The sequence below is a fragment of the Homo sapiens genome, chromosome 17 (assembly GCF_000001405.40).
Source record: "Homo sapiens chromosome 17, GRCh38.p14 Primary Assembly".
Lineage (NCBI taxonomy): Eukaryota > Metazoa > Chordata > Mammalia > Primates > Hominidae > Homo > Homo sapiens.
Genome location: NC_000017.11, coordinates 73,665,673 through 73,683,102, shown reverse-complemented (window position 1 = coordinate 73,683,102; position 17,430 = coordinate 73,665,673).

Here is a 17,430-nt window from a genome sequence, read left to right as displayed (position 1 = left end):
AGAGACCTGAGGTGGAGGCTGGAAGCAGGGCAAAGGCCACTGTCCCTCCAGGATGCTCTCTGGGTTGGCATGGCAGCAGTCAACATTCGTGTCAATAGCTGACCCATATTTAATTAACAAAAAGAAAACAAGAAGATGGGAGGGAAAGGAGGAGGGCAGAGCCTGGCTGGCTCCTCGCCTGGCATTGCAGGGATTAATGGGCCTTTCTCACTGGGCAATGGATGCTGGCAGAGAGCAAGAGACACCAGACACGTAAGAGTTCTTCTCAGGCAGCCGCCTGCTCCCAGCACTAAGTAGGGGTAGACTTTCCTTCAGAAGAGTAAGGCCAGGGCAGGGCCTGCACGGTGTAGGGGCTCCGTAAACACACATTTCTGCAGTGACAGCAGCAGCAGCAATGCACTGATGATGACCATCATTACTCTAGGCCAGGCACCCTGCCACACTCTTTGCACGTTACTTTATCTAATCTGAACGAGGACACTATGAAGTAAGTGATAGGATTATTCCCATTTCCAAGATAAGAAAATTGAGGCTTGGAGAGGTTGAATAACTTGTCGAAGGTCACATGGCTCCTTAAGTGGCTGTAATAGTCTGTACATTAATGACCTTGGTGTGGCCCCCTCCCCTTGAATCTAAGCTAGCCTTGTGATGTGCTTTAACCAGTACAATACAATACAATACAATACAATACAATACAATACAATACAATACAATACAATACAATCAACACAGTACCAATACAATGTGGCAGCGCCCCACTAAGCCTTAAGAAAGTCTACAGCTTCTGCTTTGTGCTCTTGGGAGCCCTGAGTCGCCATGTAAAAGATCTAGCTATCCTGCTAAAGAGACCACATGGAAAAGAACATGGAGAACATGGAAAGAGAGAAAGGCCCAGCCAAGCCAGCAGTCCCAGCTGAGCTCAGTACACTGAAGACCACCAGACCAGCAAGATCAGCAGAATAGTCACCCAGCTGAGCCCAATCCAGATGACAAAATCATGAGCTACTAAAGTGGTTGTTCTTTTAAGTCACTCAATTTTGGGGTAGTTTGTTTTGGAGCAAGAGGCAATTAACACAAAAAGGTTCCACTGAGTGATTGGCAGGATTGGCCTGCCCTTCTGCCCAGCCTCACCACCAGCTACATCCCTTCTTCTCACAACAGTGAGTAAGGATCTCCAGCTTACAAACGTGCTCTCGTTTCTCTACCTGGTTGCAAAACACATTTCACCAAAATATGACTGTACTGCCAAAAGTGAATAAGAATAAGATACTCTGTTTCCACCTGCCCCTGCCTAGCCCAATCCCCAACCAGGTCTTGCCTGGATGAGTGTAGTAACTTCCTAAGAGGTCTCACCCTTCTCACCTCTTGCTCTCTCCCATCCATTCTTCCTTGCATCTGATCATGTTTTCTTTTTCTTACCTGGCCCATAAGGTTTAGCAAGACCAAGTCCCATCCATCCTACACACTAGCCCATCTACTGCCCTCCTTTCTCCTCATTCTCCAAACGCCTCTGGTTCCTCTCTGTTCTTGGAGTACACTAAGACCTTACCCACCTCATGAGCATCCCAAACATGGTTCCTTCTGCCTAGAATGCTCTTCTCCCCTTCACCCAAGGCTAATTTCTACTCAGCCTTCAGTACCTTAGGTTTCTTTCCCATGAGAGAGAGGTGAGGTATATTTTACATAAAATAAAATGCATAGATCTTAAGTGTATCATTTGGTGAATTTTGACAAATATTTATACCCACATTACCATCACCCAAATGAAGAAATATAGAATGCTTTCATCAACCTTCACCCAAATCAAGATATGCAGAATATTTCTACCACAGCAGAAAGTTCCCTTGTGTTCCTTTCCCATCAATGTCCTACCACCAGGCGATCACTGCTTTGTTTAGCTACCACTATGAGATTAGTGCTGCCTGTTCTTGAACTTCATATAAGTGGAATCAATTCGTATTTGCTCTTTTGTGATTGGCAGCTTCTTTCACTCCACATAGTGCTTTTGAGATTAATTCATGTCATGGTGTGTATCTGCAATTTGTTTCTTTTTGTTGCTGAGTAGTATTTCTTTTTTTGTTTTGTTTTGTTTTGTTTTTGAGATGGAGTTTCACTCTTGTTGCCCAGGCTGGAGTGCAATGGCACAGTCTGAGCTCACTGCAACCTCTGCCTCCTGGGTTGAAGTGATTCTCCTGCCTCAGCCTCTCAAGTAGCTGGGATTGCAGGAACACGCCACCACGCCCAGTTAATTATTATTATTATTATTTGTATTTTTAGTAAAGACAGGGTTTTGCCATGTTGACCAGGCTGGTCTTGAACTCCTGACTTCAGGTGATCCACTTGCCTGGGCCTTGCAAATTGCTAGGATTACAGGCATAAGCCACCGCACCCAGCTAGTATTTCATTACATTAATGTACAAGACTTAATTTGTTCATTCATTCTCCTGTTGATAGACATTTGAAGTTGTTTCCATTTTTGGAAGTTGATAATCCAATTGCTATGAACATTTGCATACAAAGCTTTTATATGAACACATATTTTCATTTATTTTGTGTAAATACCTAGGAATTGATAAATCAAAGAGTAGGTATACATCCAACTCTATTAGAAACCAACAGTTTCCCAAAGTGGTTGTATTGTTTTACATTCTACAGGCAGCATATGGGTTCCTGTTCCTCCCAAATTGTTGCCAACACTTGGCATTTTCGGTCTTTTTAATCTATCCATTCTGATGAGCATGCAGTGGTATTGCCTTGTGCTTTCAATTTTAATTTCACTACTGACTAATGATATCGAACACTTTTTCATCTGCTCATGGCCATTCAAATATGCCCTTGTGTGAAGTATTGGTTTGGATCTTTTGCTTATTTTTAATTGTATTGCTTGTCTTTTTATTGATCTATAGGTCTGTTTTCATGTTTTTCTCAGGAAAGTTCTCCCTGAAGGCATCCTTCCTCCCACCTGCCATAAACACAGACACACACACACACACCACACACAAGACACACATGTAACATAGACATACAACACACACATCTCACATACACACATCACAGACACATACCACTTACACACACATCACAGACACACACTTACGCACATACCCCATATACACACATGCCACACAGACACATACCACATAAACACATACCACATATATACACATAACACATATATACACATACCAAATACACACACATACACCACACACACACACCTCACAACAGACATGACACACATGCACACAGTTAAGTCCCTCTGTTGTAGGCTCTCACAACAGAGAGCCTGGGAGAGGTCTTGTGCTTCTGCCAGCTGTGCCTTGCACAGTTGAAACACATCACACAACCATGCCTTGTACAGTTGAAACACGTCATCCCATGGCCTTCCCTTGCACAGTTGAAGCACATTGTTCCACAGTCTTGCCTCGCACAGCTGAAACACATTGGCTCATGGTCTTGCCTCACACAGCTGAAACATGTTGGCCCACAGCTAACATTGCTGCTCCTGCAAACTCTGCTCCCCGAAGGTTTGAACCACATCTGCCCTGTTCACTGCTCGTTCTCCAGCTCTGAGCACAGTCCTGGGCACAAAGAAGACCTCAATAATTTTTTTCACTGAACAAATATTTATTGAATGCCTAGAATGCACCAAACAATATTCTTGGTGCTGGAGGTACCACAGCGAAGAAGACAAGTGAACCCCTTGCTCTCATGAGGCTGCTATTCTGGGATAGGAATGGGAATGGGGTAGGCAGAGTCATTGAACAAGTAAACCCAAGTGTAGTAAGTGCATGGAGTTGAATAATCAAACTGATGAAGGAGGCTAGAGAGTGGTGCTGAATGCAATGACTGGGGAAGCCTCGTTGGTAAGGCAACAAGTGAGCAGGTTGCTCACTTGCTGAGTGATGAAGATGAGGAAGGGAGCCATGCGGATGCCCGGGCAGGAACTGGCACGATGGATGCACGGCAAGGGGGTTTGCAGGGCAGGAGGGAAGAGAGGGTGGGGAGTAAAGCAGACAGACAGGAGGGGCAGGGGCCGGGGGCAGATGAGGTAGAGCTGTTTCTCAAACTTTTCACCACAATTCAGTGAAAGAAACGCACACATGCACATACACAAACAGGCACTCAAACAATTTCCTATAGAAATTCCTATCTTTACTATACATGTAATATTCTCTAGTATCTTTCTTTCTCACTCTTCTGTTCCATTTCATATAATGAAAATGCTGATCATGATGCACTAGATTGATTTCACGACCCACTGACAGATTTCTGTGTACATGTCAAAGATTTTGGGTTTTACTCTGAGATGAGACGTGCTGGAGGATTTTGAACAGAGGAGTGACATGACCTAATCGATGACTAATTTTTAACTTAAATTTTATTTTTTAAACTGTATAGTGGAAAATTGTAAACAGACACAACAGAGATAATGTAGTAATATATCCCCTTCATTCAGCTTCAACAATTATCAACATTTTGCCAACTTGCTTCACTATTCCAGTCCACTTTTTTGGCTGAAGTATTTTAAAACAAATCTCAGACGTCTTATTATTTTGCCTTCATATACTTCCATATATATTTCTAACAAATGACAGTAATACCTTTTTCATACCCACTAAAAATAACAGCAATTGTTTAATACCTTCTATTACCCAGTTGATGATCAATTTTTCTTGATTGGCTCAAAATGTGTTTTTACAGTTGATTGCTTTGAATCAGGTGATAAACAAGGTTCATATATTGCTTTTGGTTGGGATTTCTCTTACGTTTCTTTCCTCCCTCGTCTCGCTTCCTTCTCTCTTCTTCCTCCCTTCTTCCTCTGATACTGAGGTTTAAGCTACGTAAAATTAAAATGAACAATTTGGGCAGGGCTCAGTGGCTCACGCCTGTAATCCCAGCACTTTGGGAACCTGAGGCTAGAGGATCCCTTGAGCCTGTGAGTTTGAGACCAGCCTGGGAAATATAGTGAGACCTCTTCTCTACAAGGAATTTAAAAGTAGCCCCAGCTACTCAGGAGGCTGAGGTGGGAGGATCGCTTGAGCCCAGGACTTCAAGGTTGCAGAGCTATGAGTGTGCCACAGCACTCCAGCCTGGGAAACAGTCAGACTCTGTCTAGAAAAAGAAAAAAAAATTGATGGATATTGGCAATTGATACAGCCCATGCAACAACCACCCAAATCAACATATAGAACACTTATCACCTCAAAAATTTTTCTCATGCCTTTTGCCAATCAATCCATGTCACTCTCACCCAAAGGCAACTGTTTTCTTCGCTTCTACTACCATACATTTTCTTTGCCTGTTCTTGAAGGTGGTAAAAATGGAATCATACTGTGTTTTATGTCTGGACTTATTTGTTCAAATAAGGTCCGTGAGATTCTTCGCCATTGTTGTGCATCCATAATTCGTTTTTTAAATCACTGAGTTGTATTTCATTGTATGAATGTACTGCAATTTGATCAACTACTCTCCTGTTGATGGACATCTGCGTCGTTTTCAGTTTGAGGCTACTAAGAATGAGGCTGCTTTGAACATTCTTGTACCAGTCTTTTGAGGGTTTATGTTTTCATATTTTTGGGTTAAACTTTGTTGTTGTTTTTTCAAGACAGTTTGGCTCTTCTGGGCCTTTACTGTTTTCATATAAATCTTAGAAACAGCTTGCCAATTTCTATTAAGAATTCTGTTGTGATTTTGATTGGAATTGTATTGAATGTATAGATTGATTTGGGAAGAATGACCATCTTAAAAATGTTGACTCTTCTAATCCATAAGCGGGGCATTCTCTCTCCATCTAATTATGTCTTCCTTAATTTCTCTCAGCAGTGGTTTGAGTTTTCAGTATAGAAGTCTTGTATGTCTTCAGAAAAACTTATTCCTAGATATTTCATTTTTTCTATGCTATTTTAAATGGTATTGCTTGTCAATTTTATTCTCCAATTGCTCATATTAATATATAGAAATCAGTTGAATTTTGTATATTTGCTCTTGTAACCTAAAATCTTGCTAAATTTACATATTAATCATAGGAATTATTATATAAACTTATTAGAATTTTCTACATTTACAATCACATTATCTGTGAATAAAAACAGCTTTATTCTTTCTTTCCAACTTTTATAGTATTCATTTCTTTTTCTTGCCTTGTTGCACTGGCCAGGCTTCGAGTGCAAGGCTGAATACAGAGGTAAAAGTAGGAATTCGGTTTTATTTATTTATTTATTTATTGAGACTAAGTCTCACTCTGTCACCAGGCTGGAGTGCAGTGGTGTCATCTCAGCTCACTGCAACCTCCACCTCCCGGGTTCAAGCTATTCTCCTGCCTCAGTCTCCCAAGTAGCTGAGATTACAAGCACCCGCCACCACGCCCAGCTAATTTTTGTATTTTTAGTTGATATGGGGTTTCACCATATTAGCCAGAATGGTCTCAATCTCTTGACCTCAAGACCTACCCGCCTTGGCCTCCCAAAGTGTTGGGATTACAGGCGTGAGCCACCGCGCCCAACCAGAATTCTTACCTTCTTTCCAATATCATAATAATAATAAAAGCATAATAATATGTCACCATTAAGTATGATTTACCTTCAGGTTTTTCATAGATGCCCTTTATTAAATTGAAAAAGTGTGTTGTTTTGATCTTTAAAATGCCGCATTTTTTTTAAAATCGAGAATGGAGGTTGTGTTTTGTCAAATGCTTTTCCTGCATCTATTAAGATGACCAAGTGTTTTTTCCTTCATCATTCTGTTATGTGATCAATTATATTAGTTGATTATTAAATGCTAAATCAACCTTGTGTTCATGGAGTAAACCCACTTGGTATTAAAACATTATCATTTAAAAATACGGTTGAATTTGGCTGGCCATTGTGGCTCACACCTGTAATCCCAGCACTTTGGGAGGCTGAGGCGGGCAGATCACCTGAGGTCAGGAATTCAAGACCAGCCTGGGCAACATGGTGAAACCCCGTCTCTACTAAAAATGCAAAAACTAGCCAGGTATAGTGGCAGTCACCTGTAATTCCAGCTACTCGGGAGGCTGAGGTGGGAGAATCACTTGAACCCGGGAGGCGGAGGTTGTAGTGAGCCAAGATGGCGCCACTGCACTCCAGCCTGGGCAACCGAGTGAGACTCCATCTCAAAAATAAATAGATAAATAAATAAATAAATAAATAAATAAATAAATAAATAAAATATTGCTGAATTAAATTTGCTGGGCTTTTTAAAGGGAGTTCTTCTGTCTGCGTTCATGAAGGAGGTTGGTTTATAATTTTCTCCTCGTTTGAAATTGCTTTGCAGGTTTTGGTATCAGGGATATGCTGACCTCATGAACTGAGATGGGGAGAATTCCCTCATGATCCATCCTTGTAAGATGGGTATTTTTTTCTTCCCTAAAAGTTTGAGAGAATTTGCTAGTAAAACTATCTGAAACTCTTATTCTTTATGTGGGGGAAGGGTTTATTTTTAAATTCAATTTCTATAATTGATGTAAGACTCTTCGGGTTTTCTGTTTTATTGTGACAAATTGTGGTTTTCAAGGTATTCATCCATTTCACCTAGGTTGTCAGATGTATTGGCATACAATTTTCATAATATTACCTTATCATCCCTTTATTGTCCATGGGATCTGTAGTGATGATGTCTCTTTAGTGCCTGATATTTACAATTTGTTTTTTCTTTCTTTTTTTAATCAGTCTTTCTGGGCTTCATCAATTTTATTAGCCTTTTTAAAGAACAAACATTTTGCTTCTTGGTCATCCTTATTGATTTTATCTATCGCTTTTCCATTGTCTGTTTCACGGATTTCTGCTTGTGTTTTTATTATTTCCAACCTTGTAGTTTGGGTTTAATTTGCATTTTTTCCTTTCTTCCTCAGGTAGATTTTAAACCATTCTTCCTTTCTATTATGAGCATTTAAAGCTGTAAATTTCCCTTAGAACCCTCAAATAGCTTCATTTCACAACGTGTGATATATTGTGTGTTCATTTACATTCAATTTAAAATATTTTCTAGGGATTACATCAAGCTAAAAAGCTTCTGCACAGCAAAAGAAACAATCAACAAAGTGAAGAGACAGCACACAGGGTAGAAAAAAAACTTTCAAACTATCCATCTGACAAGAGATTAATAACCATAATATGTAAGGAGCTCAGATAACTCAATAGTGAAAAGAAAAGAAAAGAAAAGATAAAAACACCAAAGAATTTGATTTAAAAATGGGCAAAAAATCTAATATTTCTCAAAAAAAGACATACAAATGGCCAACAGGTATATGAAAAAATGCTCAACATTACTAATCATCAGAGAAATGCAAATCAAAACTACCACCAGATATATTCTCATCTCATTTAAAACGGCTTTTATATAAAATATGGGGAGTAACCAATGCTGGTAACAATGAGGAGAAAGGGGAATGCTCATACACTGTTGGTGAGAACATAAATTATCATAACAGTGGAAAACTGTATGGAGGTGCTACCAAAAACAAAAAATAGAAATACCATACCATCCAGTAATTCGCTACTGGAATTCAAAAGAAAGAAAATCAATATATCAAGGAGATTCTGCACTCCCATGTTTTTGCTGTACTGTTCACAATAGTCAAAATTTGGAATCAACCTAAGTGCCCATCAACGGATGAATGGATTTTTTTAACGTATATATACACAGTAGAATATTATTCAGCCATTAAAAAGAATGAATCCTCATGATTTGCAGCAACATGGATGGAAATGGAGATCATTAGGTTAAGCAAAATGAGCAAAACACAGAAAGACAAATATTGAACATTCTCACTCATATGTGGGAGCTAAAAATTAGATCTCATGAAGATAGAGAGTAGATTGAATCTAATCAATTTCTATAATTGATATGATTCTTCAGATATCCCAGAGGTTGGGAAGGAAAGGATGGGGTATGAAGAGAGGTTGATTCATGGGTACAAATATATAGTTTGATAAAAGAAGTAAGATCTAGGGTTTGTTAGATCAGCAGGGTAAATATAGTTTACAATAGTCAGTTATATATTTCAAAATAGCTAAAAGAGAATAATTCAAATGTTTCTAGCATAAATAAAAGACAAATATTTAAGGTGATAGATACTCCAATGACACTGATTTGATATTTACAAGATACATGAATCTATTAAATTATCACATGCATCCTGAAAATGTGTACATCTATTATGTATAAATAAAACATTAAATTAAGAAAAGAAAAATAAATAAATAAAACATGTTCTAATTACTTTTTTTTTCTCTGACCGGTGGTTTATTTGAAAACATATTGCTTAATTTCCAAATATTTGCAGATTTTTCTAGAATTTTGTTATGGATTTATGATTTAATTATATAATACTTAGTGAACATAATTTGTGATATTTCTTTTTTTAACCTTTGAGATTTTTTTTTTCTTGATCCAGCACATGGTCAGTCTCGGTGAACGTACACATACATTTGAAAACCATGTGCATTCTATAATTGTTGAGTGTAGCTGTGTTCTATAAACATCAACTATATCAAGTTGTTTAATGACATCGTTTAAGCCTTATGTGTCCTTTATTGATGTTCTGCCTATTTGTCATGGCAATGAATGATTAAGGGGCACTAAAATCTTCAACTATGATTGTGTATTTGTCTGTTTCTCTCTTTATTTCTGTCATTTTCTGCTGCACATATTTTTAAGTTCTATAATTAGCTACACACAGGTTTAAGGCTCTTAGATGGTTTTGACAAAGTCACCCCTTATTAATATTATTAATATGAAATGTAAGGTTACGAAATCCTGCTAATACTTCTCATTTGGAAGTCCACTTTGATAATCTTTTTTTTTTTTGAGATGGAGTCTCCCAAGGTGGAGTGCAGTGGCATGATCTCGGCTCACTGCAACCTTCTCCAGGGTTCAAGCGATTCTCTCGCCATGGCCTCCCGAGTAGCTGGGATTACAGGTGTGTGCCACCACTCCTGACTAATTTTTGTATTTTTAGTAGAGATGGGGTTTCGCCATGTTGGCCAGGCTGGTCTCGAACTCATGACCTCAAGTGATCTGCCCGCCTCAGCCTCCCAAAGTGTTGGGATTACAGGAGTGAGTGATCACCTGGCCTTCTTTGATAATCTCTAGGCACAACAGCTTTCTGATACTTGGTGTTTGCATTGGGATATCTCTTACTGTTTTCAACTTGTTCATGATTTTATATTAAAGTATGTTTCTTAAGATATACAAAGGGCCAACAAACATATGGAAAAATGCTCAACGTCACTAATCATCAGGGAAATACAAACTAAAACCACAAGGAGACACCACTTTACTCCTGCAAGAATGGCCATTATTAAAAAGTAAAAAAACAATGGATGTTGGCATGGCTATGGGGAAAAGGGAACGCTTATATACACTGCTGGTGGGAATGTAAATCAGTACAACCTCTATAGAAAACAGTGTGGAGGTTCCTTAAAGAGCTAAAAATAGATCTATCATTGGTTCCAACAATCCCACTACCAGGTATCTACCCAAAGGAAATGAAGTTATTATATGAAAAAGACACTTGCACATGTATGTTTATAGCAGCACAATTTGCGATTGCAAAGATGTGGAACCAACCTAAGTGCCCATCAACTAATGAGTGGATAAAGAAAGTATGGTACATATACACCATGGACTCAGCCATTAAATGGATGGAAACAATGGTATATATACACCATGGACTACTACTCAGCCATTAAATAGATGGAAATAATGTATTTGGCCGGGCGCCGTGGCTCACACCTGTAATCCCAGCACTTTGGGAGGCCAAGGCGGGTGGATCACAAGGTCAGGAGATCGAGACCATCTTGGCTAACACGGTGAAACCCCGTCTCTACTAAAAATACAAAAAATTAGCCGGGCGTGGTGGCGGGCGCCTGTAGTCCCAGCTACTCGGGAGGCTGAGGCAGGAGAATGGCGTGAACCCGGGAGGCGGAGCTTGCAGTGAGCCGAGATCATGCCACTGCACTCCAGCCTGGGCGACAGAGCGAGACTCCGTCTCAACAACAACAACAACAACAACAACAACAACAAAAGAAATAATGTATTTTGCAGCAACTCGGATGGAGCTGGAGGCCATTATTCTAAGCGAAGTAACACAGGAGCGGAAAACCAAAAACTTTATGTTCTCACTTATAAGTGGGAGCTAAGCTATGAGTACATGAAGGCATATGAGTTGTATGTAGGCTTTATAAAGAGACTCAGAAGGGGAACGATGGAAGGGGGACCAGGGATTGGAAAAAACTACGCATTATGTACAATGTATACCGCTTGGGTGACCAGTGAACTAAAATCTCAAAATTTGCCACTATATAATTTTTTTTGAGATGGCATCTCACCCTGTAGCCCAGGCTAGAGTGCAATGGCATGATCTCAGCTCACTGCAACCTCCGCCTCCTGGGTTCAAACGATTCTCCTGCCTCAGCCTCCCGAGCAAGTGGGATTACAGCTACCCGCCACCCTGCCCAGCTAATTTTTGTATTTTTAGTAGAGACAGGGTTTCACCATGTCGGCCAGGCTGGTCTCGAACTCCTGACCTCATGATCCGCCCACCTCAGCCTCCCAAAGTGCTGGGATTACAGGTGTGAGCCACCGCGCCCGGCCTCTATAATTTATCTATGTAACAAAAAAACCACTTGTACCCCAAAAGCTATTGAAATAAAAAATAATAATAAACCATGCTTCTTAGAAACAGCATGTAGTCAGACCTTGCTTTTATCCATTCTGATAATTTCTGTCTTTTAATTTGAGAATTAGGTCCATTTATAATTTTAAAAATTATTCATATTGTTAAATTTAAGTCTACTTTCAATATTTGCTTTCTCATTGTCCTATTTTTTGTTCCCCTCTTCTCCACTCCCTGCCAGCTTTTTGGATTAATTATTTTTCAGTATTCTATTTCATCTCTTCCACTGATTTTTTTTCAGTAATACCTTTGTGTTAATATTTCATGGTTACTCTAGGGTGCAATATGCATCTTCAACTTAACACAGTTTGTCTGTAAATAATGTTGCACTATTTTACAAACAACGTAAAACTCTTACCGCTGCATAATGTGCCCTCACTGCTATATATTTTACTTCTACATAAGGTAAAACCCCACAATACATTGTTATAATTTGTACTTTTGACAATAGTCTTCTACAGAAGTTTAGAAATATATTTACATAACACATAAATATAATTTTTAATATCATCAGGCTTATACTTTTTGATACTCTTCATTTCTTCCCACAGGCATTATTCTTCATTTCTTCCCATCTGGTATTATTTCCCTTCTACCCTGAAAAACTTCTTTTAGCATTTTTTGTCATTTTTTGTAATCCAAATCTGCAGGAGAAAATTTTCTCAGCTTTTGTCATCTGAAAACATTTCTGTTTCACCTCTGTTTTTTTAAGAATATTTTCACTGGGCATCAAATCCTAGATTGAAAATTCAGTTTTTGAAAATTCAGTTTTTATTTTTCACACTTTAAAGATGTCATTCATTGTCTTCTGGCCTCTAATTTTTGTGTGTGTGTGGAGTCACTCATCATTCTCATTCTTATTCCCCTTAAAATATAATTTTAGTTGGTGGCTTTAAAGTTTTTATTTCTCTTTAGGTTTTCAACAGTTTGATTATGATATGGGTGGGTATGGTTTTGTACATGTTTACACTGATTAGAGATTACTAAACCTCTTGAATCTATAGGTTAATGTCCTTAACCAATTTTAATATATTCTTTCTTTTTTTTCTTTTTTTTTTTTTGAGACAAAGTCTCTCTCTGTCACCCAGGCTGGAGAGCAGTAGTACAATCTTGGCTCACTGCAACCTCCACGTCCAGGAGTCAAGTGATTCTACCATCTCAGCCTCCCAAGTAGCTGGGACTACAGGTGTGCACCACTGTACCTGGTTAATTTTTTGTATTTTTTGGAATGGACAGGGTTTTGCCATGTTGGCCAGGCTGATCTCGAACTCTTGGCCTCAAATGATCCACCCACCTTGGCCTCCCAAAGTGCTGGGAATACAGGCATGAGCCACCACGCCTGGCCCTCAAATATTCTTGACTATTATCTGCTCAAATATTTCTTCACTGCATTTTCTCTCCTCTTCTTCCGGGGCTCCAATTATATGTATATTAGGTCATATTGGTATTTTTCCCAGGGCCCAGATGATCTGTTAGTTTGTTGTCATGTTCTTAGTCAGGTGGTTTCTTCTGGCCCAACTTAAAGTTCACCAATCTTTTCTGCTATGGTGTCCAGTCTGCTATTAAGCCCATTCAGTGAATTCTTTATTTATGATACAGTAGTTTTCTGTTTTAGAATAACCATCTGAGTTTTTCAGTAGTTTGATGCTGAAATTCCCCATCTGTTCACGTATGTTGTTCACTTCTCAAACTGAATCCATTAAAATATCTAAAATTGTTACTTTAATATCTTTGTTGGCTTATCGTAACATCTGGAATATCCATGGATCTGCTTTAATGACTTTTTTCCCTTTTGATTATAGGTCACATTTCTTGCTTCAACAAGTGCTTTGTAATTTGTAATTATATTTCAGACATTGTGTATAGATGAACAGGAGAGTCTAAAGTATTAATAATAGAGTCTATATTACATATAGTATACCACATACTATATAATATTTCTATTATAGAATATAATAGAAATAATATAATATAATAAGATATAATATAATATAATAGAAAGCCACCATACTCACACAAAAGGAAGTAGAAAGTAGGAAGTAAGAAATATATATACTATATAATATAAATAAATACTATATAATTTCTACTATATAGTATATATGTATATATACTATATATACACCATATAATATGCATATAATATACATGCATTACTTAATCTATATATCATATATTATATATTATTTCTTATATATTATATATCATATATTATATAATTATATTACAATTATATATAATACATATATAGTAATATAGTCTAAAGTATAATTACTCACTGAAGTGAGAGGCTGAGTCAACTTATTCTGTGGTTGAGTTGAGTTGAGTCTCAGCTCTAGTGACAGCCAGTTCACTATGGACTTCAAATGTTTTGAGGGTTGGATCCCTGCAGCAGGATTCGGGATCTGAATTCCAGCAAGTCTTCTGAACCACAGCTGATCGCGCTCTGCTTTGGCTTTTGGGTCCACTGAGTTCGGCTTTCCCTCTGGGGTGATGTCTCTTCATTCCACTTCTCTGGCCATGTCCTCTCGCTGGCATCTGCCTTGCCCTTGGTGACATCCTGGAACACACCAAGGACATATCTCAGCTCTCCTGATTTGCCTCCACCATAGCCATACATTTGGAGGTAAAGGTGGGAATTGTGACTGGGATCCACGGGCTACAAATCTGTCATGTTGGCCTCTACATGACTATTAAAAGTTGATTACACTTTGGCAGGCTGAGGCAGGCAGATCACGGGGTCAAGAGATAGAGACCATCCTGGCTAACACGGTGAAACCCCATCTGTACTAAAATATACAAAAAGTTAGCCGGATGTGGTGGCACGCACCTGTGGTCCCAGCTACTCGGGAGGTTGAGGCAGGAGAATTGCTTAAACCCAGGAGGCAGAGGTTGCAGTGAGCCGAGACTGTGCCACTGCACTCCAGCCTGAGTGACAGAGTGAGACTCCATCTCAAAAAAAAAATAAAAAATAAAAAAGTTGATTATAGTTTGGCTTGTTTCTTTGTACCCCTATCCATGCTGGGTTTACCCCTCCTCTCACCACCCTCCAGTCATGAGTCTCTTCTGTCCTAGGAAGGGCTTGCAAATTTATGTCCTCAGCTCTCTGATGGATTTTAAAAGAGGTGATTTTGTAACTTATGTAGCTTGTTTTTGTTTGGGGGAAAGAAAATCAAAGTGATGGTCTCTTGTAATTTTCTGCATCCTAACTGATAGCAAAAATCCATTCTAACCAGAAGCAGATGTTCTAATAAGCAGTGATTAAGTGAATGTATGTTCCTTCTGCCCGGGCAGCTCCTGAGCCTCTTGTCTATCTGGAAGATGCTCCCTCAGCCTCCACATCTTCCTCCTTGAAGTCTTTCCCAATTTCCCCATAGCCTTGGGCACTTCTTATACTAGTCTCCTCTGTTCTTTGATCCTGCCTACATTAAAGCTATTTTTCTCAAAATATCATAATTGTTTTCATGTCTGTCTTCTCTGTTGAACTTTGAGTTCCTTGACAGCAAAAACCCTGTAGTTAATAAATTGTATACATATATACACATGCACCCAAATGCACACACACACGTGCATATATGTACTATATACATATACATACATTATCCACAGAATACACTCATCACTAAACCAAAATGTGCTTACTCAACAATTAACACGTGATTTCCATCTTTTGTGATCAAGTCCTCATGCCCTGTCTGACACATGGTAAGCGTGCAATACGTGTTTGTGGCGTTCATGAATAAATAAATAAAAGAGCAAACTCCTGCCTCTGTCCTGAAGCTTCATCGCCATTAGACATAGTTACTGCTGGCTCACGTGATCTTTTACTTTCTGCTTCGTTGGGAGGGGACTGAGTGAGTGGACAAGTGTTTATGTGCATATGCAAATTTAAAATTCAGCCTGATTATTCTAAGTTTGGGGTGTTTGCTTTGAAGTTACATTTTTGGCACCAAGAGCCAGTGTCCAGAGGTGGCACTAGGCAGAGGATTTGGAAATCTGCCCAAAGCTGGCCCATGGTTGGTTAAATCTACCCCTGACAGGAAACAGGGCTTTGAGAACTGAGCTGCTGTACCAGGAAATGGTCTTGAGCAAGTTTGGTGCTCTCTGTTTCTATTCTTAGAATTTCAGATCCAGGGCAGGATAAGGACATCAAGGGCATCTATTACAACTCTTTAACCAAATCAGATGCTTGAAAGTCCTCATATGTCTCCTCCGTCCCCAGAATCCTTCTTTCCAACACAAATGTTCAATTATGCATGAGACTGGAGTCAGACAGAGTTCCAATCTCATCTCTTAAACTCTCTGAGCCTCTGTTTTCCTATCTGTTAAATGAGTATACTAATGCCTACCACCCAGGATTATTTTGAGCACTCAGTGAAATCCTGTTTGCAACGTGTGAGCACCAGGTTTCTTCTCTTTCCTGGCATCTTCTACCCACCTCTGTGTGAGCATCTTTCCATCACCATCGGGAAAAGTCACCACTCTGGCCGAAAGGCAGAGTCAAGGCACAGTAGGGTGTTCGCTTTCTCCTTCTCCTTCTCCATCATCTCCAAAGTTGCACTCAGTCCAAGCCACCCTCAGCAGGGCAGGGCCTAGGGAAAGAAGAGGTGGGAGAGATTCATCACCAGGGCTGCTGGGAGCTTAGAGGTGACCACGGAGAAAGAAAGGAAGAGAGAGAAAGCAGACGGGAACAGGGAGCCACAGTACTCACACAGAAGGAAGCTGAAACAATGCTGCCCAGCAGAGGCCACAGACAGCCCCTGCCCCTGCCCTGGGCCTGGAGAACTGTGCCCAAGATCAGCTGTGCCTTCATGCAGCCAGGCCAGGCATACCAAGGTGGATGAATAAGTGGGCCAATTGCTGAAAGCATGGCCAGTAAAGACAGATTAACACAGTTTGATCATAAGAGAGAGATATTAGTCTGTTCTCACGTTGCTCTAAAGAACTACCTGAAACTGGGTAATTTATAAAGAAAAGAGGTTTAATTGACTCACATTTCTGCAGGCTGCACAGGAGGCATGGCTAGGGAGACCTCAGGAGACCTACAATCATAGCAGAAGGCAAAGTGGAAGCTGGCACGTCTTCCACGGCCAGAACAGGAGGAATAGAGCGAAGGAGAGGGTGCTACACACTTTTAGACAACCAGATCACTCACTATCATGAGAAGAGCAAGAAGAAAACCTGTCCCCAGGATCCACTCACTTCCCACCAGGCTTCTCCTCCAACACTGGGGATTACAATTTCTCATGAGATTTGGGTGGGGACACACATACAAACCATACCAAGAGGATTTCAGCGCAGCCACATGTCCATTTTTTTCATCTTTTTATCAGTGGGGAAGCAGGAATAAATGAATATGGCAGAGAATGTGAGGGAGTGAGAGCAGAAACTACAAGTGGAGAGTCCTGACCTCTCAACTTGGCAAGTATCATAATAATAAAGCCTGAACTTGGATTTATGAAACACCTACTAGGTGCCGGTCACATACAGACAGAATCTCCATTCTTCACATCAAGGTAGGTAGTATGCCCACAGTACAGATGAAAACACGTGTCGGTCATAACACTCCAGGATTTGCTCCTAGGAGTGTCTGATGCCACAAGGCAAACTCTTTTTACTAGATCAATCTGCCTGATCTTCAATCAGGTAAGCTTGGGTGGGTTAATACCTGTTCCAGTAACCAGGTATCTCTTTCCAAAGTCTTGTGGATGTCCCTATAGGATTGAATG